Source organism: Homo sapiens, chromosome 14 (assembly GCF_000001405.40).
Source record: "Homo sapiens chromosome 14, GRCh38.p14 Primary Assembly".
Classification (NCBI taxonomy): domain Eukaryota; kingdom Metazoa; phylum Chordata; class Mammalia; order Primates; family Hominidae; genus Homo; species Homo sapiens.
The window spans coordinates 59,709,104-59,733,230 of record NC_000014.9 but is presented as its reverse complement, the minus strand read 5'-3'; the positions used below and the strand labels follow the sequence as shown (position 1 = coordinate 59,733,230).

Genomic DNA, 24,127 nt, shown 5'->3' with positions numbered 1-24,127 from the left:
AATCCCAGCTACTCTGGAGTCTGAAGCAGGAGAATTGCTTGAACCCGGGAGGCGGAGGTTACAGTGAGCAGGGATCGCACCACTACACTCCAGCCTGGGCGGCAAAGCGAGACTCTGCCTCAAAAGAAAGAAAGAAAGAAAAAAAAAAAAAGCAGTCTGACCACAATCTGGCAAAGCCCCTGTGTTGTGCTACTGGGGGGACCCTTCCTTCACTGGACCATTTGGACTCTTCAAAGCCCGCAGGCTGGAGTGGCTGAGTTGACCAAACAGCAGAGATGGTGACCCCCACTCCCACCGGGGGGCTCCAATGCAGTCTCAGGCAGGCTCTACCCTGTTGCTGGTGGCTGGCTGAAATTCCGAGCCAGTGGGCCTTATCTTGTAAGGTGCCATAGAAGTGGGGCCCACAAAACGACACTGCTCAGCTCCCTGGATTCTGCCCTTTTCCTAGGGGTATGTGCAGACCTCCCACCTTGCCTAAGTTGCAGGCATATTTGTTGGGGGATCCTAGGGCTGGAGTATGTAAAGCTTCTGGGTCTCTGTGCATGCCTGAGCAGCTGCTCTGCTAAGACTCCACATAGCTCTGTGTGTCAGATCCAAGGCCCTGGTGGCCCTCATGAGGGGATCTCCTGATCCGAGAGTTGCAAAGATCCATGGAAGAAGCGTGGTTTTCCAGGATCACACAGTCACTCACTGCTTCCCTTGGCTGGGAGGCAGGGGGGTTCCCTTGGCTTTGTGTTGCTTCTGGGTGGACTGTCACCCTGCCCTGCTTTTCTTCATTCTCCGTGTGTTGTTTCCCCAATCAATCCCAGTGGGAGAACCTGGATATTTTAATTGAAGGTACTGTATTCATTTGCCCCTTTCGTTCCTCTCCATGAGTGCCAGGGACCGAAGCTGATTCTATTCGGCCATCTTGGCCGCTCCATATACCTACTTCTTCAGGATTAACTTTTAAACTAGTTTTCAGGGCCTTCCATGACCAGGGGCCTGCTTCCATTTTCAGTTACATCAACCCTGCATCATTCCCAATAATACTCCAGTTAAACGTTTGACTTTGTCCTTCTTTGAGCAGACCCCTTCCTTTTTCACTTCCATATCTTTGCTTTTGGAGTTCACTCTTGAACAATGCCTGCCTTTCAAGGTTCTGTTTCTGTTCCAAGATCAATTCAAGTGCAGCTTCCTCAATGACCTCCTCTAAGTTTCTCTAGAACATTGTACAACACAATTGCACCTAGCCCATTCTGTTTTGTTTTCTTTTTATTCTCTAGGAGCGGCAGGGAATACTGTGAGTCATAAGCACAGTAATGGTAATTGGGACCTAGTGATGGTGGAAATGGGTAAAATCACCTTGAGATGGAGTGGAGTAAGAAGAGAGCCTAGGGAAGAACTCTGGGGGAGACCAACATTTCATATCTGAGAAGAGATGAGATCAGGAGAGCTAGGAGGAAAATCTGAAGAAAGTAGGGTTGCAGACACCAAAGGAGGAGTGGACAGTGTGTCAAATACTGTTGAGAAGACAAATAAGATGAGAACTCAAAAACGATTGGGAAGTTGCCAGTGAACTGAGGCAAGCAGTAAGGGTACAATCCAGAGTGAAATGATGTATTCAGTAGAATTCAGATAAATCCCAAAATCTTGGTGGCTTAACATAATAAAAGCATTACTTTTCACTTGTAGTACAATCCAAGTTTAGATTCAAGGCCAAACTTCCATTTTTTTTTAAACAGCTTTATTGAGATATAATCCATATACTATACAATTCATTTAAATGTACATTTCCATGGTTTTTAGTATATTCACAGAGTTGTGATCCATCACTGCAATAAATTTTAGAGCATCTTATTACCCCAAAAAGAAACCCTGCACCCCCTTTTCTCACCCTCCAAATCTCCCCACTCCCCATAACTACTACTCTTCTTTCTTTCTCTATAAATTTACTTATTCTGGACATTTCATATGAATGGGCTCACATAATATGTGGTCCTTTGTGACTGACTTATTTCACTGTTTTTAATATTTAGCCATGTTGTAACACATATCAGTACTTCACTCCTTTTTATGTCTAAATAATATTCCATTGTATGGATATATTACATTTTTATTTATCCATTTATCAGTTGATGGATATTAGATTGTTTCTACCTTTTCTGGCTATTATGAATAATGCTGTTATGAACATTCATGTACAAGTTTTTTGTGTGGACATATACTTTCATTTCTCTTGGGTAGATACCTAGGAGTGGAATTACTGGATCATATGATGACTCTATGTTTAAATATTTAAGGAGCTGTCAGACTTTTGTCCAAAGCAGTTACAACATTTTTCATTCCCACCAGCAGTGCATAAAGGTTCCAATTTCTCTAAATCTTTTCCAGAACTTGTTTTTATCTGGCTTTTTGATTATAGCCATCCTAGTATGGTTATGAAGTAGTATCTCACAGTAGTTTTGATTCGCATTTCTCTGGTGAATAATGATGTTGGGCATATTTTCATGTGCATTTTGGCCATTTGTAAATTGCCTTTGGAGAACTGTCTATTGAAGTTCTTTGCCCATTTTTAATTGGCTTGCCTTTTATTATTGAGTCGTAATAGTTTGTCATATATTCTAGATATGAGTCCCTTATCAGATATATGATTTGCAAATATTTTCTCCTGTTCTGTTGATTGTGCTTTCACTTTCTCTATGGTATTCTCTGAAGCACAAAAGCCCAGTTTATTAGTTTTTCTTTTGTTGCTTCTGTTTTTGGTGTCATATCTCTGAAACGATTTCTAATCCAAGGTCATGAAGATTTACTTCTATGTTTTCTTCTAGAGTTTTATGATTTTAGCTCTTATATTTAGGCTATTGACCCATTTGAAGGAAATTTTAAAATACAACATGAGGTAGGGGTTTAATTTCATTCTTTTTCTTGTGGTTATCCAGTTCACTTTTCCTCTCCTTCTCATGCCCCAAAATATAACTTGCCACATCTCAGACTGCATCCCCCTTTTAAAAAGATGTAGCATGATATAGTGTAAAACACATGAAATAGACATGCATTCAAATTCAGGTCAAATAATTTCTAACCATGTAGTTATATCATCTAGGGTCCTAGCAAGAAAAAAGTGACACACTCAAAGGTTGTGACTGAAGAGAGTTTAAAGAAGGGGCTATTTACAGAAGTGTAAAGATGGCCAAGAAAACCGACAAATGATGCCAAAGCCTTAACATTAGGGAGCTGTTACTACCCCTAGACCTAAAGACCAAGAGGAAGGAACAGCGTTCTTGAAGCCTGCTAAGAGCTGGAACTTCAGAAGCAGCAGAGGGTATAAATATCTCAACATCTCCTTCATCCCAGCCCTTGGGCTTCCTATTGGCTAAAAACAACCAGAAACCAAAGGGAAAGGAATCCTGGGTATGCTTTCTATGTAGGTCAGCCTCTCAGAGCACAGGAGAGGGCAGAGAAAGAAAGGAATGGATCCAAGCGGGCAGAGAGAAAACCACTACAGTGACCTTGGACAAGTAGCTTAATCTATTGTCCCTAGACCCTAAGTTCCATATGTAAAGTGCGTGACACCCAGCAGAGGATGCTGCTGCTACTAGCAGTGCTCTGGAGGTACAGAATATTTCTTAATTTACACCACTCCTTATCTTATTTCTCCGTGCTCTAGTCAACCACTCAGAAGTAAGCTGGTGAAACTTTCACACTTTTCCGCTGTCTGAAATCATATCAAACAACTATGTGTACAACTTATTAAGGAACTAACTCCTGTAAAAATAGAGTTGAGGATCATAGAATAAATTTTTAAAAACATGATTCATATGAGAGATAATGAAGTAGTTGTTGTTTTAAGTTACTAAAAAAGGGGGGGAACCCATAGATCATATCCTTCCTCTGCTTAAAGCCCTCCAATGTCTTCTAATCTCACTCAGAATAAAAGCCCCATGAGATCCTACATGATCTGCCCCAACTCCTTGGGTCACTGATCTCTTATTTCCCAACTTATTCACTTTGCCCAGACATAATGGCCTGCCTATGATACCTGGGAATCAGTGCAGCTCCCACCTCTGAGCCTTTGCATTATCTGTTTTCCTCTGCATGACGTGCTTTTCCTCTGGATATCTTCATGAGTCACTCTCTCACCTGCTTCAAGTGTTAAATATAGGTTACTTTCTCAATGAGGCCTACACGGACTCCCCTATTTAAAATTGCAAACTCATCTCCACCCTGACCCAGAACTTGTGTTTCCTTACCCTACTCTACTTTTTTCCATAACACTTAACATCTTCTAACATACTATATACTTTACTTATTTACTATATATATTGTTTGTATATTGTGTTCCCTCCACTAGAGTATAAGCAGAGACTTTGTTATCTGTTTCATTCGCTAATATATCCCAAGTGTGTAGAAAAGGGCCTAACACATATTAGGTTCTCAATAAATAACAGATGAATGAATATGGATAAAGAATAAAATCAATTCTGATTCATAAATAATTAGGAAAATCTAAAATGTTTTATCCATTTGGGGTTCTCCCACAGTCCTAAAGCCACAGATCCCTCAAAGCTTTGGATAAATGCAACTAGTTATTGCTAACAAAAGGACCAGATCCCACTAAGATATTCTAAAATAAAGCCCTTCTGTATGGCAAGGGAAAACGAGACTCTTGAACACTGTTGTCATGGTGATCCCAGGTCGTCTCATCTATGGGAGGGAAAGCTCAGCAAGATTGCCAGTGTAGCCTTTAGGCCATCTGGATAAACATCAGGCAGAAGGCAGGCATTCATCCAGGGACCAGGAGTGACTCTCAGGTTTTGTTCTTCTCGAGAGGAAGTGAAGAGAGGAGAAGAAAGGGAAAGAATACAGTGGGCTGCCACTATGGAAAGCCTTGCAGGATAGTCCATTATGGTAATCTGCACAGCCTGCTTGGTGGAATTGGCAGAAGTGATCTCTTACATTGCTCCACTTAGTTGCAAAAAAAAAAAAAAAAAAAAAAAAAGATACTGATTCTTATTGGAAATATAAAGCTCAGAAGTCAAGTTGTGTCCAAGGCTCAAAACTACCTGCTTTGTCTTGCTAAAGGAGAGGATATAAACAGCAATGGACGAGGAATAATGGGTGATTTTCAGATTTGTTGATATTCGTGGGCCCAATTAGAGTGCTGTATACATCAGATTATCTGATAAAATCTGTGAAATTGAAAAAGTTCCCTGAGAGAATGAATCAGAAATTAAAACGATGACTTGTAGAATCTTCTCTGCATTGAAACAGGAACACCAACTGAGATTCTGTTGCTAAGATATTGCTGGGTCATTTTTTAAAATAGCTAGCTGAAGATAGAGAGGTCTGTAAAACACTAATTAATTGGGCCATAACAGTAATTAGCCTTTTAGTTCAGGTGGCCTGTCTTTCCAGCATAGCCCTGGAAACAGATTATTTTTGTGCTAATGAGATATGTGTTTCTCAAGCAACGACAAAACATCTCGCCTAATGGAATTTTGTTTTATCCCTCCTCTCTCTGTCCATCTGTCTGTCCGTGTGTGTGCCTCCGTGGCTCTCCTTCGCTCTGTGGGACGACAGAACCATCTGCTGCAGAATCCCAGGGGAAAGGCAGCATCTCCGAGGATGAGCTGATCACCGCCATCAAAGAAGCAAAGGGATTATCGTATGAAACCGCCGAGAACCCACGGCCGGTGGGCCAGCTGGCCGACAGGCCCGAGGTCAAGGCCAGGTCCGGACCGCCAACCATCCCCAGCCCCCTGGACCACGAGGCCAGCAGCGCGGAGTCGGGGGACTCAGAGATCGAGCTGGTGTCCGAGGACCCCATGGCCGCGGAGGACGCGCTGCCCTCAGGCTATGTGAGCTTTGGCCACGTGGGCGGCCCGCCGCCCTCGCCCGCCTCGCCATCCATCCAGTACAGCATCCTGAGGGAGGAGCGCGAGGCCGAGCTGGACAGCGAGCTCATCATCGAGTCGTGCGACGCCTCCTCGGCCTCGGAGGAGAGCCCCAAGCGGGAGCAGGACTCACCCCCGATGAAGCCCAGCGCCCTGGATGCCATCCGGGAGGAGACTGGCGTCCGGGCCGAGGAGCGTGCGCCAAGCCGGCGGGGCCTGGCCGAGCCGGGTTCCTTCCTCGACTACCCCTCAACTGAGCCCCAGCCTGGCCCCGAGCTGCCCCCTGGAGACGGAGCCCTGGAGCCTGAGACGCCCATGTTGCCACGGAAGCCTGAAGAAGACTCGAGTTCCAACCAAAGTCCTGCGGCCACAAAGGGCCCTGGGCCTCTAGGTCCTGGCGCCCCGCCCCCACTGCTGTTTCTCAATAAGCAAAAAGGTAAAGGATCCCAAGCAGGGATGCTTGGTTAGTGTCCTCCCTCTGGGTGCTCTGAGCATTCAGCAGGGGCGGTTCTGGCTCAGCCCTGGAGTCATCCCCATGCTGATCAAACAGTTGACCAGAGAACGGTTCCAGGGGGGATGGGAGGAGATGAGAGAATTCAGATCTGCAGCTGGGACAGAAGTCGGTGGCAGAACCGCGTGCTCAGGGCAACTCAGGACTGGCTGAACCCAGCCTCCCTAATAATGAGCGGTTTTGTGTTCACTCCAGGATCTCCTAAATGGAGTGCATGCGCCTGTCTTTCCATTCCAGGGCTGGGTTTCCTCCCCCAGGAAAGCGATGCTTTTCTTGTTATTGTCCAGGCTCTGGTCCAGTTCCCCTGCTCAGTCTCTGTAGGTGCTGGAACCCACCACTAGCATGTTCTATTTTGCCAGCCAGGCCTGTTTCTTAAGTATGCAAAATGGAGCTCAGCTCCATCCTTTCTCTTACCCAAGGGCAAGGGATTTGGGCCTTGGTAAGGTTTTTATGTCCCAGTGAGTCAGGCAAGACAGAGACCACAGTTGGGTCCAGAGTTTTCTCTTGTCCCTAAGCAAGACTGAAGGTGATTCATTCACTTTTAAAGTCTCTTATTACTTAGAATGAATTTAATGTGGTCATTATGTTCTCCCTATGAAAAATTTTGAGGTGAGTCTTCAAATGCAAGAAAAATGGAAGTCATTTGTTTTCCAGACATTATACGTGTACAAGAGATTCTTCCCCAAAAATCGTTCACCGCACCTGATTGCAGTTGTCTTATGGAATTCAAGAAAGGAATTAGAGTCACATGACTAAGTGAGGTCCTGCTCATTCTATTTTTGTTAATGGGTGAAGTTAGAGAACTTCTACCCTGTTCCTGGGGAGAGAACACTCAGGTAGGACTTTAAAACAAACCCTAACAACTGTATTCAAGGTCCCCTCCCACCCATCTCTTCTACTTTTCTTTCCTTTAGAAGTGCTTTCTTTGCCTTTTCCTTTTGGAGATAAGTGATTTCAAGGGTGCGCCCTCTTTCCTGTGTCTATGCTAACTTCAATGATGTTAGCGGCAGTTAAAGTGCTTCATATAAAAATAGAGGACAAAATCTTTCTCGTTATTTTAAATTGGAAGCTAGCTGCTAAATTCTTTAAAATTAACACATTGGAATAGAATAGAGGAATCTAGAGGACTGAAATAAAAAGATACATAGTTGCTGTGGCTCAGACATGTGGCATGGTGTGGGGGCTGATATAATTGACTCTTGACTTCCCAAATAGCTCTTCTTAAAGAGCTGAAAGCATATTTAGTGTGTGTGATAGGGAAGATACTTGAAGACAAATTTAACGGTGGGAATGTGTTTGTTGGGTCAATCTTAAAACCATTTTGGGTTTTTTTGCTACTATCCTGACATAGTAAGAAAAGACGCTGCAGCTTGCAGGGAACCACAGGAAAAAGTATTAACATGAACAACCTTCAGCCCCTTGGGGCCCCAAAACAGTCAAGCTTGAGTCATGCTGAGCATGTGTTCATGTCACTGTACTGTAACAGGCATGTGTCTCCATTTTATCCCCTAACTAATGTTCCTGAGATAGTCACCGTGTGCACGGTGCTGTTCAAATATGTTTATTCTCAAAAGTAGATAAATCTGAGGGCTAAAGAGAAAAGGGAACTTTGCAGGCCTATTGAGAGACAAGGACAACAGCTGGGACTGACTGACCAGACACCTGATGAAGAGCTGAGGAGATGGAAAACTGCAGCTGTGAATGCAAAGGCTTCAGAGTATCTTTTATGGCCAATTTTGTGTCATTTGAATCTCTGTACAAGTTGCCCCATATGGCTTGGACCCTGTGCTGCCAAGTTTAGAAGGTAGAGAGGAGGGTGTGGCAGTCTTTTCAAAAGATGAGGGCGTGCCAAGGTGAATAATCTCCACTCTCTTCTGCACGGAGGGGTCCTTTGAAATCTAGTCTCCCACTGAAACTCACTGCTCCACTGCACTATCTATGAAGAGTCTAAAAGGCCATTCTGAGGCAGCCAAGAACTGGAGGTCCTGAGCAGGTGATTCAGCAATGCCAGCAGGCAATTTGAGCTCTGAGGTTCTTTTTGGTCTCACTTGCTCTGTCTCAGCAGGTGAGAAAGGATCAGCGCTGCCCAGCCTTCCCCAGGCTGTTTTTTTTTTTTTTCGTCTGACACAGAGTTTCACTTTTGTTGCCCAGGCTGGAGTGCAATGGCGTGATCTTGGCTCACTGAACCTGACCTTAGGCGATCCGCCTGCCTTGGCCTCCCAAAGTGCTGGGATTACAGGCGTGAGCCACCACGCCCAGCCCCAGGCTGTTCTTAATCACTGTTTGTGGACAGCAGGTTTGTGCTCATGCCAAGCTTGACTCCTGGCAACAGTGAGGTCCGGTCAGCTTCTGTGGTTTCCTGCTCTTGTCCACTGAAGCTTCTGGCAGTATGCATGCATTAATTTTATGCATTCACAAGTATCCAGGGGATGAGCCATCCTGCTGATGCTGGACAGAGTTTCAGAAGTGCCTAGAAATATTTAGAATAATATTTAGGATAAGGTTTGACAGATATTTGATGGCATCATTGCATGTACCATGGAGGAGCACCAGGGTAACTGGTGCACGTGCTCTAACAAGGCCTAGTTTTGGAGCTTTCTCACCTTTCAGAGACCTCTGCAGTTATTGCACTGGAGACAAAACGCAGTTCTTTCTTCATGCTTCAGTTTTCCTCCTTGTATGCCCCTGAGCTCTTGCCGCCCTGTATTTCTGCTCCCCTACACCTTCTAGGATGACCTGTTATAAACATTAGATTCTAAAGCAGGTAGATATGTTTTCCTTTCTACAAGATTAGCCGTAACTGTTAGGAATGTCCAAGTAAAAAGCCAATTTAAAAATTTTCATAAAAGCACTAATACCCAGTGTGATTAATCAGGATAGTTATGTGATATTTACCAAACCTATGTGATTGTAGAATACTTTTTATTAGAGTGTGCCGTTGGGTTCATATTCCAGGGGGACACCTGTTGGGAAATCATGGTATCTTTGCCCTTGAGCTTGTTTCCTGCATTCTGATTACTTATCATGCAACTCAAAAGTGTGTGGCTTGGACCAGCCATGTTGATATTATGTGGGAGGTTGTTAGAAATGGGGAATCTCAGGCTGCTTCCAAGACGTACTGAATCAAGATCCCCTGTGCATAAGTGCATATGTGATTCTTATACACTTTAAAGCTTGGGAAGCAGAGTTTTATTTTTTTTAATTTATTTTTATTTATTTATTTATTTTGAGACGGAGTCTCGCTCTGTTGCCCAGGCTGGAGTGCAGTGGAGCATCTCTGCTCACTGCAAGCTCCGCCTCCCAGGTTCACGCCATTCTACTGTCTCAGCCTCCCGAGTAGCTGGGACTACAGGCGCCCACCACCACCACGCCCGGCTAATTTTTTGTATTTTTTTTTTTTTAGTGGAGATGGGGTTTCACCATGTTAGCCAGGATGGTCTTGATCTCCTGACCTTGTGATCCACCCACCTTGGCCTCCCAAAGTGCTGGGATTACAGGCGTGAGCCACCGCACTCGGCCAGGGTAGCAGGGTTTTAGACGATGGCAGTATGCTTTCATATTCCTACTTGAAACTGACTGTCTTCTTGCCAAACAAATGGCCTCTTTTCAATCTCATCTTTCTTGTCCTCTCTGGTAATCTAATATCATACTGCTGATCAGTCCTTAAAACGTTAATAATAAAGTAATGTATATTTGTTGTAATAAATTCAAACTGTACAAAATGGCACAGAATTCAAAGTTAAAGAGTCTGGGCATGGTGGCCCACACCTGTAGCCCCAGCACTTTGGGAGGCCAAGGCTGGTGAATCACTTGAGCCCAGGAGTTCAAGACCAGACTACGCAACATGATGAAACTCCATCTCTACAAAAAATACAAAAATTAGTTGGGTGTGGTGGTGCATGCCTGTAGTCCCAGCTACTCAGGTGGCTGATGTGGGAGGATCACTTGAGCCCAGGAGGTCGGGCCTGCAGTGAGCTTTGATCACACCACTGCACTCCAGCCTGTGCAACAAAGAAAGACACCTTGTCTCAAAAAAAAAAAAAAAAAGTTAAAAGTTCCCTACTCAACCCTCCCATCCCTAATTCTCACACGTCACTACAGGCCTTTGTATTGTTTTTTTTTTATTGTTGTTCTTGTTCTTCAAGAATTTCTTTAAGTATTCAGGAATATATAGTTTTTCACTGAAAAAGTAACATTATATTGAACATACTGTTTTGTAACTTATGTCATTTAACAATAAAATTAGGGACAATATCAGCTCTCATGGAAATCGTTCACTCCTTCTCAGAACTTTTTCCTCCCTTATCGTACTGATGTTTCTCTTTCTTGGTTCTCCTCTTACTCTCTGACCTCTTTTCCAGTCTCTTTTGCTACCACCCTTCCAGTTCCTCTGTGTTGTCCCTGAGTTCTATCCTTGTCTTTCTTCCTCCTGCCTATCCTTGCTGTCAAAGCTGCTGTCACCCATGCAGGTTTTCAGGCACTGCTTTATGTGTGACACTTCTCAAATCTCTTGCTTTGAAGAAATCCTCTTTTCTAAACTCCAAGCCGATTTCCCTCACTGTGTATTGGACATCCCATAGACCTCCCAAATTCCGTATGTCCATGTTAATTTATCAAAATTTGCTCTTTTCCTTCCTCTGTTCCCTTCCTGAGCAAATGAAGTGATGTCATTGAGTGTGAACACTCAACCTCCAGGACTCTAACCCTCTTACAGTTCTAAGTTCTCATACTTTTTGAATACTGTTAGGAATTTATCCCATAGAAATGCTATAGCAGGTGGGCAAAAATATATAAATTATACACATGTGTAAATAGAGTTAGAAAGATACATATGAATATCTTTCTTATCTCGTTTTTCATAGTAATGAAAAAGTTGGAAAAAACACCAACAGGGAGTTGAGTAAAATGAATTTTCATCCATCCATCCATTGGAGAGCAACAAAATCATTTAGAAGAACTAAGTCTGGATCCAAGTAAAGACTCATTAGCCTGAGACAAAGTTAAAGGTACTCGGTGCCGACCTGACTGTAAATACTTCAGTAGAAGTCTTGCAGTAGTGTTTGGTTATAAAATTATCACCCAGGTGATCCAGAGTGTTCTTACTATTTGAAAAATTAATATCAAAATAAAAATACAAAAATGAAATTCTCTTTTTGGAACCCTAAAGTACACAACCAGTGACCCAGATTGAGAAATATTTCTTTAAGCTAGCAAGGACTTAAGTGTTGCTTGGGGACCAGGTACCTCAGCACCTTTTGGAGTGCTTGTTCAGAATTCAGATTCTCAATCTACCCCCACCTCGAAACTACAGAATGAGAACTGGCTGGGGCATACATCTGCACTTTTAATAATCACACTGAAGCTTGAGAATTTCTATTGTAAACAGATGAGCTAAGCAGCCCAGACCTTCTAAGAAAACTTGTTGGTGAGCATGACTTAGACATATCATGCTTTTAAATTAAAGATGCTGAGGGGGACTCAGCTGTTTCTATCTCTTTCTGTTAGAGAGGTACCTGTCTGTGCCCTGGGAGGCAGGCCTCTGCAGCCTGCTCACCCATGGCCTCCTCTGTGTATAGCAGCTACAGCAGCTTGAGGCTGGAGGGCTCAGCCCCTTGTGGCAGGGGAAAACCTGTCTTTTCCTTGGAGGGGTGATTTGTGGGATGGCTACCAGGTGGAGGTCTTCTCAAATAGAATAGATTTTCATCTGTCTAGCATTTATGATGTTTGTTATCACTTTTCATTATTATACTAGATATTACTTCTGTCCTAAAATATTTGGGAGGGAACCAAAATAAGTATGACCCATTTACTTTCTTCTCATAATTCTAAAAAAAAAAAGTCATTATACCCTAGTCCTGTATGTGTTCACTTTCATGAGACTGTATTAATATACCGGGCTATAAAGATTCTTGGAAAGTCTCTTTCTTTCACAATACAGGTGTTAGATTCCACTTGAGCTCTATGCCCCTCCACTGAAGCTGCTGTTCTTTGTCAGCTTTCAACAAGATGGACCAGTAACTGCTGGATAAAGTGTGACTCCTGTGTTGGTATGTGCTATGCCATGGAAATACTTAGATGGAGACATCGATTTTCCACCTTAGAGTATTTTTTTTTTTTTTTTTGAGATAGGGTCTTACTCTGTCACTCAGGCTGGAGTGCAGTGGCGCGATCTCAGCTCACCGAAACCTCCACTCCCAGGTTCAAGCAATTCTCCTGCTTCAGCCTACTGAGTAGTTGGGACTACAGGCATGCACCACCATGCCTGGCTAATTTTTGTATTTTTTGGTAGAGACAGGGTTTTGCTGTGTTGGCCAGGCTGGTCTTGAACTCCTGGCCTCAAGTGATCTGCCTGCCTTGGCCTCTCAAAATGCTGGAATTACTAGCGTGAGCCACTGCAACCAGCCCACCTTAGACTATTGAAAGCAACTAAGCTACTTTTATGAGACTTTGCCCAGTGATAGAAGGAGCTCTTCTGGTCTAGGCAACCCTGGATGAGGCTGCCAGCAGCCAGCTGAATTCATGGCTTTTCTTTCTGAAGCTGTCACAGAGTTAGCAGTGTTCCAATTGCATATCGATCTATGTTTTTTTTTTAAAATGGTGGCTTCACTGAGTGGTGGGGTTTCCTTCTCAGCCTTGGATAGAATTGCTGCAAATCTTGGTGGCTCCAGCACTTATTATTTCTAGGGACAGTTATTCTTGCCACTTCAATTCCAAGATGTGTGTAAAGATCTAAAATGGTTATTGTACCTTGGTAATACTTTTAATACCAAATCTTTGGGACACAATAAACCCTCCTAGTAAATTTGGTTTGGGCATGCAGTAGGGCATTGATCAGCTCCTGAAATGGAATCGAGTCAACCTTAAACTTGCCTGTAGAGGGAGAGCTCCCAGGCAGCAAACATTTTTATGCCTCCAAGAAATAATGATCCTATTTATTAATAAATGGCAATCCTAATTCCCTATCCAGGCTTTTTTCTCCTCTGTTCCTCACATAGATCAACCTAACTTATAATAATGGAGTTTGGAAGACATAATTCAGATACTTCTAATTCTCAGAGGCAACATGAGGTCAAGGAGATTCTCTAGTCTCAAATACTAACCCTACTTCCCTCTGAAGTCTGGGTGGGATCCTCATAGACATAGTTTCTGCACTTCTAGATTCTATCTTTGTGACCCCACAAAACACTCCTGCAATACAAAAATACAATACATAAATTTCACTCAAGGTTATGCCAGTCCCACCTATTCATACATCCATCTTTCCTTTGATTCAACCAATATGGCATAGGATGTGCCTGACACTAGCAATGTAGTGGTTACCAAAGCAGACTTGAATCCACCCCTCATGGGGCTTACATTCTGGTGGAAGAGGGAGTAGACATTAAGAAGAAAATCAACAGAGTGATGTGTAAGAGACTACCTGGTGGTGGGTGGCACTTAGGAAGGTCAGAGAAGGCCTCTGAGAAGGAGGAAACTGAGAAGTCAACTGTGGCAAGAGCTGGTTAAAGCAAGTTCCAGACAATATAAAATGCAAAGGCCAGAGACAGGAAAGTTCTAGGGATATTCTATACATGGGAAACAAGTTGATGTTGCTAGAATGTGGTAGGCAAGGGGAAGAATGGCAAGAAATAGAGGTGGAAGATTGGCAGTGCCCTTCCATGCACACATCATGGTGCTGAGCTTGGTCTTTCCTAAGCATTCTAAGAAGCCTCAGAAAGATTTTTAAACTAGAAAGTGACATGACCTCCTTTGCATTCTTTAGAGGTCACATTGGCTGCTGTAGGGAGAAAGAGTTGAAGGAGGACAAGCAAGCATGGAAGCAGGAAGACAAATTAGGAAGCTCTTGCAGGCATGAGATGGCAATGGCTTGGAGAGGTGGTAGCATTGGAGATGAGAGGAATGGATGGATTTGAGATATGCTTTGGAGATGGACTTAATAGGACCTACCGATGCTTTGGATTTGTGGTAGGGGTGACTTTATCCCCAATACCCCTCAAATTATATTTCAGTTTTTGTCAACACAATGATTACAAAGAGATGCAAAAATATTTACAATGGGGAAAAATACCCCAAACTTTGATGCTGCTTCATTAGTCATTGAACTCGTTTTTTTGTGTGTCTGCTTTTGGAAAAACTCATCCATTTGGATTATGATAGCACTGAAATGATCTCCCTATTTGAGCACTGTATCTAGCATATTTTCCTGGCCAAGCAACGGGTTTAATATATTTAGGTGATGGTGATGTTTGGGTGGCTGACACTGGAGCTGGAATGGTCCAATATGGCACTTGTGGAGGTTAAATAAGACCCTTAGTGAGATAGGTAGGGATTATGGTCAAGCAAGTTGGTTATTTAGAGTTAGATACATGCTTGCCTAGGGCCAAGAAATCACAAAAGCTTCAGAAAGTCTAAAGAACATCCCAAATGTGAATCAAAATTTTACTAACAGGCAAGGAAAAGTCAGAGGCTAAAGTTAGAGCGAAGGCAGCTTTAAAGTAGATACTCAAACTGGGGCTTCAAGTTGAGGCAAGCACATCACTCAGTCTGGTTACTTCAGCTCAAGACTGCAGTCGGCCATGGTCTCTATTGGTGATTTACTCAGAGATTCCTGAGTCCGCCCCGTCTCTGTAATGGCACTCCTGGATTTTAAGTGACCTAGGTTGAAATGGTGGTCCTCTTGGCCAGGCAAAGCATTGATCCAGGACTTTTCTCTTTCCTTGTGGAAGTGGGTGTGAATGGCAGGAAGAGCAGATTAGGGGCTCAGTGGAACTGATCAGTTTTTCTAGATAGTGTTTCTCAAAGGGTAGTTGGTAGACCATTTATATCGGAAGCAGTTTGTTGAAATACAGAATTCCCGGGCTCACCCCAGGATTTCCTAGGAAGGGGCTAATGCATCTGCTTCATTAAGTAGCTCCGCAGTTAATTGTAGGCAGAGAACTTGAGAATCATTACTCTAGGGACTATGTCGGGGCTGATCTCTCAACGTCCTCAGAGTAATCTTTGGCAGGTTTTTCCTCCAGTAACCCAACTTTTTCCAAGGCCAGTTGGATTTTCTGTTTGGGCTTAGATGTTAGTTTAAATGGTTCTTGTGGGTAAGTAGAATTTAAAGTGAAATGTATACTGTTTACTTCGAGACTTCCACCTCCGTATGGGAGAGTGAAGGGGAGATCATGTAAACACAGCCTGGTCTTGCCAGCTCATCCAGGGGATGCTACCTAACATCTCTCCACCCCACAATGCCACTAGAACAAAGGCCCCAACAGTATATGGTGGCGACACAGAGGAGCTAACCATTCATTGTTTCAGTAGTTTGGGGCCTCCTGGGTGAGAGGAGTCCTCTGGGTGATCTCTGTTCATAGCCTGGAAAATTTGTAGCAGGAGAGGGAGAGGAGTGGGGTTGAGTTGTAGTCTTCCACTCACAATCAAGAGTAACCGGCATGACTTTATTACACAAGATCAAACATTTCACTACCACTAATAGTAATCCAGTTCAAAGTTGCATATTCTGGTAAATATAACATTCTGGCTTAACTCTTCCCTTCTGGCAGGCACTTCATTTTCTTACAACTCTTGGCTGAGCACTGAAATCTTGGGAGATTTATCTGCCTACAAAGCACTTGCAAAAGCAGAGTATGTGCCCCAAAACCTAATTCTTTCACTTCCAAATTCACTCTTGTTTACCTCTCCCTAACATCTCTAGGAGCTCAGTTTGATTCTACTTCTGAAAACGCAAAGAAAATCAAGTAAAGCAGAAAGATGCTTTTGTATTGATTATCCCCACTCACTGTTAATGTCTATTGCCATCCAGTGGTTGCCATGAAAATATTCAACCTCTACTTCTTTTTTTTTTTTTTTTTGTTTGTTTGTTTGTTTGTTGAGATGGAGTCTCGCTCTGTTGCCCAGGCTGGAGTGTAGTGGCATGATCTCAGCTCACTTCAAGCTCCGCCTCCTGGGTTCACGCCATTCTCCTGCCTCAGCCTCCCGAGTAGCTGGGACTACAGGCGTCCACCACCACGCCTGGCTAATTTTTTTTTTTTTTTGTATTTTTTTAGTAGGGATGGGATTTCACCGTGTTAGCCAGGATAGTCTTGATCTCCTGACCTCGTGATCCACCCGCTTTGGCCTCCCAAAGTGCTGGGATTACAGGTCAACCTCTACTTCTTCTCACTCACACCACCACAATTTGAACTTTACAATAAGATTTCTTGGATTATGATATAAGAAGATATGTCTTTAAATGAATTTACAATGTTCACATCGCTGTACTGTTTCTGTGGTGATTGATTATTTAAATTACCCTCCGAATTTTCCTTGAAACAAGCACAAAGACAGAGTTCCAAAAAATATTTCCAAATGGGTAACTTAGTTTTCAGCAGAATTAGTTGTAAGGCTAGACCATTTGGCCTCTACCAAAACATAAAATATAATACCATGTAGAATTTATGAACTGTGCTTTCCTACTAATTGGAGTTTTGGGTCAACATCTTCATTTCAAATTGAAGTCAAGGGTTGAGGTACAGTTTGTTGTTCTAGATTATTTCTCATGGGTAGAAGAACCAGGATTTAAAATAAGATCTACTCATTTTCAGCCAGTGTCTTTTTCCAACTAAATTGATTTCCAGGTAATTGGCCTGCTTACAAGCAAAGCTAAATGTTCTCTATGGCAAGTTGCTTTAGAATTTGGAGATTTAAGATTTAATATCAAAAATGTATATAGATGTAAATAGTTTTATAATGCTATATAATATAGGCAGCTAGTTCAAGTGTTAGCATGGTCTGTAAGCCGGAAATTCAGTCCAATCACTTGGAAAGCATGTAATTATTTTCTTTAGCTTAGCCAATTTATACTTGAATCTTTTTTACATAGAATCATGGTTTTCTTAAATGTTGAAAATAAAGAAAATCATAAATAAATGATTCTAGAAAGTTTGGATATAAGTAAAATAGTCTAATTGTCAATTTGTTCCTTTTATTTTCTTCCTTCTCTCTTTGTTAGGTCCACATTTTTTTTTTTTTTTGAGATGGAGTCTCACTCTGTTGCCCAGGCTGGAGTGCAGTGGTGCGATGTCGGCTCACTGCAACCTCCACCACCCAGGTTCAAGCAATTCTCTTGCCTCAGCCTCCCAAGTAGCTAGGATTACAGGTGCCCACCACCATGCCTGGCTAATTTTTGTATTATTAGTAGAGATGGGGTTTCACCATTTTGGCCAGGCTGGTCTCGAACTCCTGACCTCAAGTGATCCACCTGCCTCTGCCTCCCAAAGTGCTGGGATTACAGGCGTGAGCCACAGCACCCAGCCTAAGGTCCAGATTTGTAATGCCCTTTCTTAGTCCTCTGAAAACAGAATCCTGAAATTTGGAGAAGTTTTTATATATTTCACCAAGACATGCTATAGTTCTAAAGCCAAAAATCTTGGCTTTGAATGATTTATAAGTCCTGTTATGATTTACATTTTAGTTCTTATGGAGACATCTTTTCCTCAGGGCCCACTACTCTGGCTAAAAACATAAAGGGACTTGTTGATGAGGAAAGTCTCAGAGCCAAACCTAGAGCCTGAGGGCAAAGTTCTCTGAGAAAGAGACACTTTTGAGGTTCCAGCCTTACTGTTCCTCTGTCAAATTGGAACTGATTTGCCTCTGGGATGAGACATAAGGTCATTCACCTGAACTATTAAGTTTTGTCTCTCCCACTGTATATATTTGCCCCTGTAGTTTATATCAGTAGTCCCCAACCCTTTTGGTACCAGGGACAAGTTTCATGGAAGACAGTTTTTCCATGGGAAGGTGGGAGGGTGGGATGGTTTCAGGATGAAACTGTTCCACCTCAAAGCATCAGGCATTAGAGTCTCATAAGGAGCATACAGCCTAGATCCCTTGCTTGTGCAGTTTACAATAAGGTTCACGCTCCTATGAGAATCTAATCTCCTAGTGTCACTGCTGATTGGACAGGAGGTAGAGCTCAGGAAGAAATGCTCACTCACCTGCCGCTCCCCTCCTGCTGTGTGGCCCAGTTCCTAACAGACCACGGACCAGTACCAGTCTGCGGCCAGGGGTTTGGGGACCTGCTAGTTTATATGATGCCCATGTTGTAATGGGTAGAGGTGGGTAACTTTCCATCAAATTGATACTTGCTCTTCTGTAGCGTAGTCCTTCTTGGGAAGTGGCTCTCAGTCACGGACTGTATTTCCCAACCTCCTTGCAGCCAGGTGAAGCTCTGAGTCTAATTCTTACCAATAGAATGTGAGTGGAGATGATATGGGTTACATCTGGGAAGATGGGTGAGATGCAGTTGTGCCTTTTCCTCCTTCAAGGCTCTAGACCAAGGGGATGGCAAAGGAGAAGGAACCTGGGCTCCTATATGACTACCTGGTGGAAAGCTACCTGCTAATGAACACTCACACTCATCTATTAAATTAGCAACAACAACAAAAAATTCCTTCCATGTTAAGCCACTGAAATGTTGGGGTTATTTATTACTGTAGCCAGCATTATTCTAATGGGATAACCCATGATGTAATATAAAATTGAGAAAGAAGATCTATAGTTAGAATGTATGTTGTGGCACATGTCCCATAATAAAATTAGTCTATTTTTTTTTTTTTTTTTTTTTTAGACGGAGTCTCACTCTGTCACTTAGGCTGGAGGCAATGGCACAATCTCGGCTAACTGCAACTTCTGCCTCCTGGGTTCAAGCAATTCTCCTGCCTCAGCATCCCAAGTATCAGGGATTACAGGCGCCTGCCACCATGCCTGGCCAATTTTTTTTATTTTTAGTAGAGACAGAGTTTCACTATGTTGGCCAGGCTGGCCTGGAACTCCTGACCTCGTGATCTGCCTGCCTCGGCCTCCCAAGGTGCTGGGATTACAGGCGTGACCCACCGCACCCGGCCTATTAGTCTAATTTTTATAAGCATAATTTTATAGGTCTTGCTTCTTCTCTGTTCCTTTCCCCTTTATACTGTCCTTTGCTGGTACTGTCCTTTGCTCAACTGCTGGAATTACTGGTATGGTAATTCTGAGCAAATTTTAAAAAGACAGTTCTGTCTTCAAGATGTTTTATTGCTTCTTCCTGAAATGTTGTCATTAAAAACTATACAAATCTTGTATAACCACAAGGTGAGTAGCTGGCACTCTCTAAAAGCTAGGAGACACCTAGGAAAACTGAAGTCCCTGTCTAGGGCTAGACTAGCAAACTTGGGAAATCACTGATTCTCTCTGAATTGGGCGAAGCAGTGAGCTGCCTGAGGGTAAGACATGCTTGTGACTTTTTGCAGTATTTTCCTTAGTCCAAGGACCCATTCTCAGCAGTAAGTGTTCTGAAGCTTGTCTGAGTCTGGTCGAAACCAGAATGCCAAGTTATGAGTTACACTGGAAATGTATGAGGGGAACTTCATCCTAGTGGGGAGCTCAGCTCATTATTGCCTGGAGCAAAAAGAGTAGATTGTTCTCATCGGAAATTTCCATCATGCTTTGGCATCCTGTGAAACTGTTCTGTTTTCAAAGGACTGGGAATCCGCAACTAGAATCACAGCAGCTGCTCCCAACCCCATGCCTGAGGTCCTTTCCCCCACCAGTGGCCCCTTGTCTAGATTCCCTCCCTCAAGACACCGTATCGTTTTGATTGCACATCCCCTTTTCACTGCGTTAAAGAATCGTGCGCCAATTGGATCTGGGTCTTACCTTCTCCACTTACTACTAGCTATGTGACTCTGGACAAGTTAACCTGTCTGCATTTCGATTTTTTTGTCTGTTCAAAGGAGATAATAGTACCTACATCACTGGATTCTTGGGATGATTATTTGAGATAATTTAGGTAAAGTGCTTATCCTCTAATGTTGTTGCTATTTAAATATTTATTTTAATAATAATTATACAATGAGATGGGGCTTTGGGAGAATCTAATACAGTTACTCATTTTTTTTTTTTTTTTTGAGATGGAGTTTCACTCTTGTCACCCAGGCTGGAGTGCAATGGGAGTGATTTCAGCTCACTGTAACCTCCACCTCCCAGGTTCAAGCAGTTCTCCTGCCTTAGCCTCCCAAGTAGCTGGGATTACAGGCATGCCCCACCACACCCAGCTAATTTTGTATTTTTAGTAGAGACAGGGTTTCACCATGTTGCCCAGGCTGGTCTCAAACTCCTGACCTCAGGTGATCAGCCTACCTGAGTGCTGGGATTATAGGTGTGAGCCACCACGCCCGGCCTAATTACTTATTTAATGCAGGAATACTTTCTGCAACATACTGTTTCATAACATTTCAGTTAGTAAGTTTGCAAGTTTTCTTCTTATGTCACAGTTTGATTGACTGCTTTCCAACAATTTATCGGAAGTTGAATTGATCTCACTAATAAGCTCTTTCCAAAGTATATTGTGGGACAGGTTGCCTCTCGGGAGGTTTCCTAAAGCCAGCTGACCCAATTTGTCATTTTCTGTTGACTGTAGTTTTCAATAAATATATGCTTAGTTCCTCACCCATAATATCTCAGAATATAATATGTGGATATAACATCTGTAGATCAGTATTTTCTAGTATGCCCCAGCTGATTTAAAATGTCCAGCCAGGGTTGGATACCACTTAGCTCTATCTGCTGTATATAGATTTTTGTTATCTTTAGGCCTATGTATTTTGGGGCTCCCTCCACAATCCTCCCTTAGCCTCAGGTGTGTGCCTTACTCTTTTGACTCTGTTAGGCCATACTACAGTAACAAACCTCAAAATTTCAATGGCTTAGCTCAACAAACATGTATTTCTGGCTTTCAACTATTGCTATTTGGTGGAGGCTTTCCTTTATTCAGCTACAAAGGGATCCAAGCTCCCTTTCTTCTGTGCCAGTTGAATATCAACATATGGCTTCTCAGGTTGCCATGCCAGAGGAAGAAAGAGCTGACACCAGCTCTTAAAAGCCTCCCCTGGAAATGATACATGTCACTTTTGCCTATGGCTCGTAGGCCAGAATTTGTCACATGACTCTATGCATCTTGATGCATGGAGCGCACTGGAAATTTGATGAGGTCCCTATCATGGACCTGTTTCACAATGATCTCTTGTCTTAGATCTTCAAAGCACTTATCATCACCCAGTACTTGATGTATGCCTTCCTTTATTTGTTTATTGCCTATCTCTCCCAAGTAGACGTTAAGCTTTTTGAGATCACAGGCTTTTGTTCACTGCTGTATCTCTAGTGCTTACAGTGATGCCTAGTGAGTAGTGGGGTCTTAATAAACATTTAATAAATAAGTGAATGGCAACTCCATACACAAAGGTGAAGCCACTGAAATCTGTTGTGGGATTTTATTTTATGTCAATGTGCTTTATAGCTTGTGTTCTTTTTCAAAAGCACATTTAAATGTTATTGAGTCCAAAGAGAAGTTAAAGAATAATAGGCTAATTAAGAAGAGAACATTATATGTGGATCTCCTACTATTACTCACGAAGAGCATTTATCTCTCAGTTGTTCATTCCTGGAGTGATCACCCCAGGAAAGGGCAAATGTAGTCAGCAGAGAAGGATGCTTTCTGAGGTTCAGCTGACATAGGCAATAAAAGACTTGAGTTGGCAAAGCAGAAGGTGATATCACTGTGGGCCTGTGTTCAGCCTTTTCTTTGCTGAGCTGAGCCTATCGAATTTGCACAAGACCAGTCTGTTGAAACTTTATAACCCCCATAAAATGGAAAACCTTCTGCAATGAATGCTTCTTCTCATTTTGAATACTGCAGAACCCAATTAAAAACAAGGTTTGTTATTAAGGCTGGTCTAGAGACAGGCAGTATTATGTTATGATTAAGGCATGAACTCTAGAATAAGAAAGATTTGGGTTTGAACCTGAGTCCAACACTTACCTCCCTGAAACCTCCCAAGCCTCATCTATAAAATGTAATGAATATTTCCTACTTGCTAGAATTGTAATGAAATTTAAATTGAATAATGCTTTTAAGGTGGTTAGGTTGGTAGAAGAAATGGCACTTTGGAAATGACAGCAATTATCACATTCTATAATTGGATTGTTTTTCTGTACTAGATATGGCAGTATACCCAGGTTACAGTCAGTGGTGGGGCTTACTCAGGGAGATGAGAGAATGTGAGGCCACTCAGATGGGCTGTCCTTTGTGGATCAGCCCCCGACCTGAGGCTTCCAAAGCTGCCTTTCTGGTGGGCCTGTAGTGCATGGCCATGGCAGGCCTGCTTTGCCCCTGAGCTCAGTTGGCAGCCCACCTCCTTTGGTGCACTCAGCATCTTTGTTCCCCAGCATGGGCTGCTTTTTCACCATCCAGTGTGAAGCTCACCTGTCACAGCCCACCTCAAGGACATTATTCCCCCCATGCTCAACATTTAGCTCAAGCCTCCAATTCTGGTCCTTTCAGCTGTGGCCAGGTTAGCAGGATCGATTCACAGAAAGAACCATTTGGGGAACTTCTCTTTAAAAGGGACTGAATTTATGTCAAGCTTGGAATGCTGCAGACTCCTCTCCTCTATTTTTTAAAGTGAAACTTTACATGCAAAGAAGTTTCAGCCCTGGCTGGGAACAGTGGCTCATGCCTGTAATCCCAACACTTTGGGAGACCCAGCCAGGTGTTTGAGACCAGCCTTAGCAACATGACAAAACCCCATCTTTACAAAAAAAAGATACAAAAATTGGCCAGGTATGGTGGTGCACGCCTGTACTCCCAAATTCTCAGAAGGCTAAGGTGAGAGGATCACTTGAGCCTGGGAGGGTAAGGCTTCAGTGAGCTGAGATCGTGCCACTGCACTCCAGCCTGGGCAACAGAGTGACAGTCTGTCAAAAAAAAAAAAAAAAAGAAAGAAAGAGGGAGAGGAGAGGAGAGGAGGAAAGAAAAAGGAACGAAGGAAGGAAGGAAGGGAGGGAGGGAGGGAAATAAAATTAAAAAGGAAGGTGTTCAGCCCTATGGTTATTTTTTATGGGAAGCTAACTTTGAACAATGAGAAAATTTAGGAATATTTGAAGTAGTATTTGGGGGTGAGGTTCAGTTATGTTCTTCCCGTGATAAACATGGAATTGCCTCTTTAGAGTAGATAGACAAATCCCTCTTACATAAAATGCTTCAGATGACTGCCATTTCTCTTAAAAAGCTCTCCCATTTTTGTTATATGCTTTCAATTATCTGAACTGGGAAGTAAGCTTTGGTGTACTTCTAATTCAGGGCAATTTTTTGTCTGCCTGGACCCCCATAGGCAGGCGGACTGGCACCACAAGGCAGGGGGCAAGATTCTCCTTATAAGGAGGTTTCTTGTAACAACTTGTTTGTTTGGTGCATTGTGCTTCATCTATTTTATCCACCATTGACGTGCTTTCTAAAGTAGTTGTGCATCCGCTCACTCTAGAAATCCATACAATGTATTTCACAAGTACTAAGAACTGTCATCCATAAAATAGAATATATTTTAATTATCCTTTAAAGAAGACAAGGTAAGGTTGTCCCTTCAAATACCTAACTCTCATCTGTGATTTGAAATGAGTATTCATAGCTCCATTTTTTGAGACATTTTAAATAGATTATTATGCAAAGATGCATACCTTGAGCAAACAAAATAGTATTATGAACTTTCATATATAGATAAACAAAATTTAACAATTATTATCATTTTGTCATATTTGTTTTGTCTACTTTTGGGAAAAGCATTTTAAAATTAAGTCACAGCCACCAAGACATTTCACCCCTACAAGCTTCAGTGTACATCTCTAAAAATAGGACATTTTCTTATATAACTAGTTAGGCTCA

The 24,127-nt window shown here is 42.7% G+C and overlaps 1 protein-coding gene across 4 annotated transcripts in view; it reads left to right on the top strand.

The window, feature by feature from the left end:
* The window catches only part of RTN1 (reticulon 1), a 274,801-nt gene that overhangs the window by 137,546 nt on the left and 113,128 nt on the right, over positions 1-24,127 (top strand). The window contains exons 3-5 of one of the 4 annotated variants that reach the window (XR_007064042.1): positions 5,563-6,312; positions 7,042-7,223; positions 11,250-12,310. Coding sequence is in view for 3 of the 4 variants with exons in the window: in XM_011537063.4 (XP_011535365.1) it covers positions 5,563-6,312; positions 7,042-7,139 (848 nt within the window). In the remaining variant the exon portion in view is untranslated. The other 3 variants (XM_047431674.1, XM_011537063.4, NM_021136.3) reach the window with 3 other exon arrangements.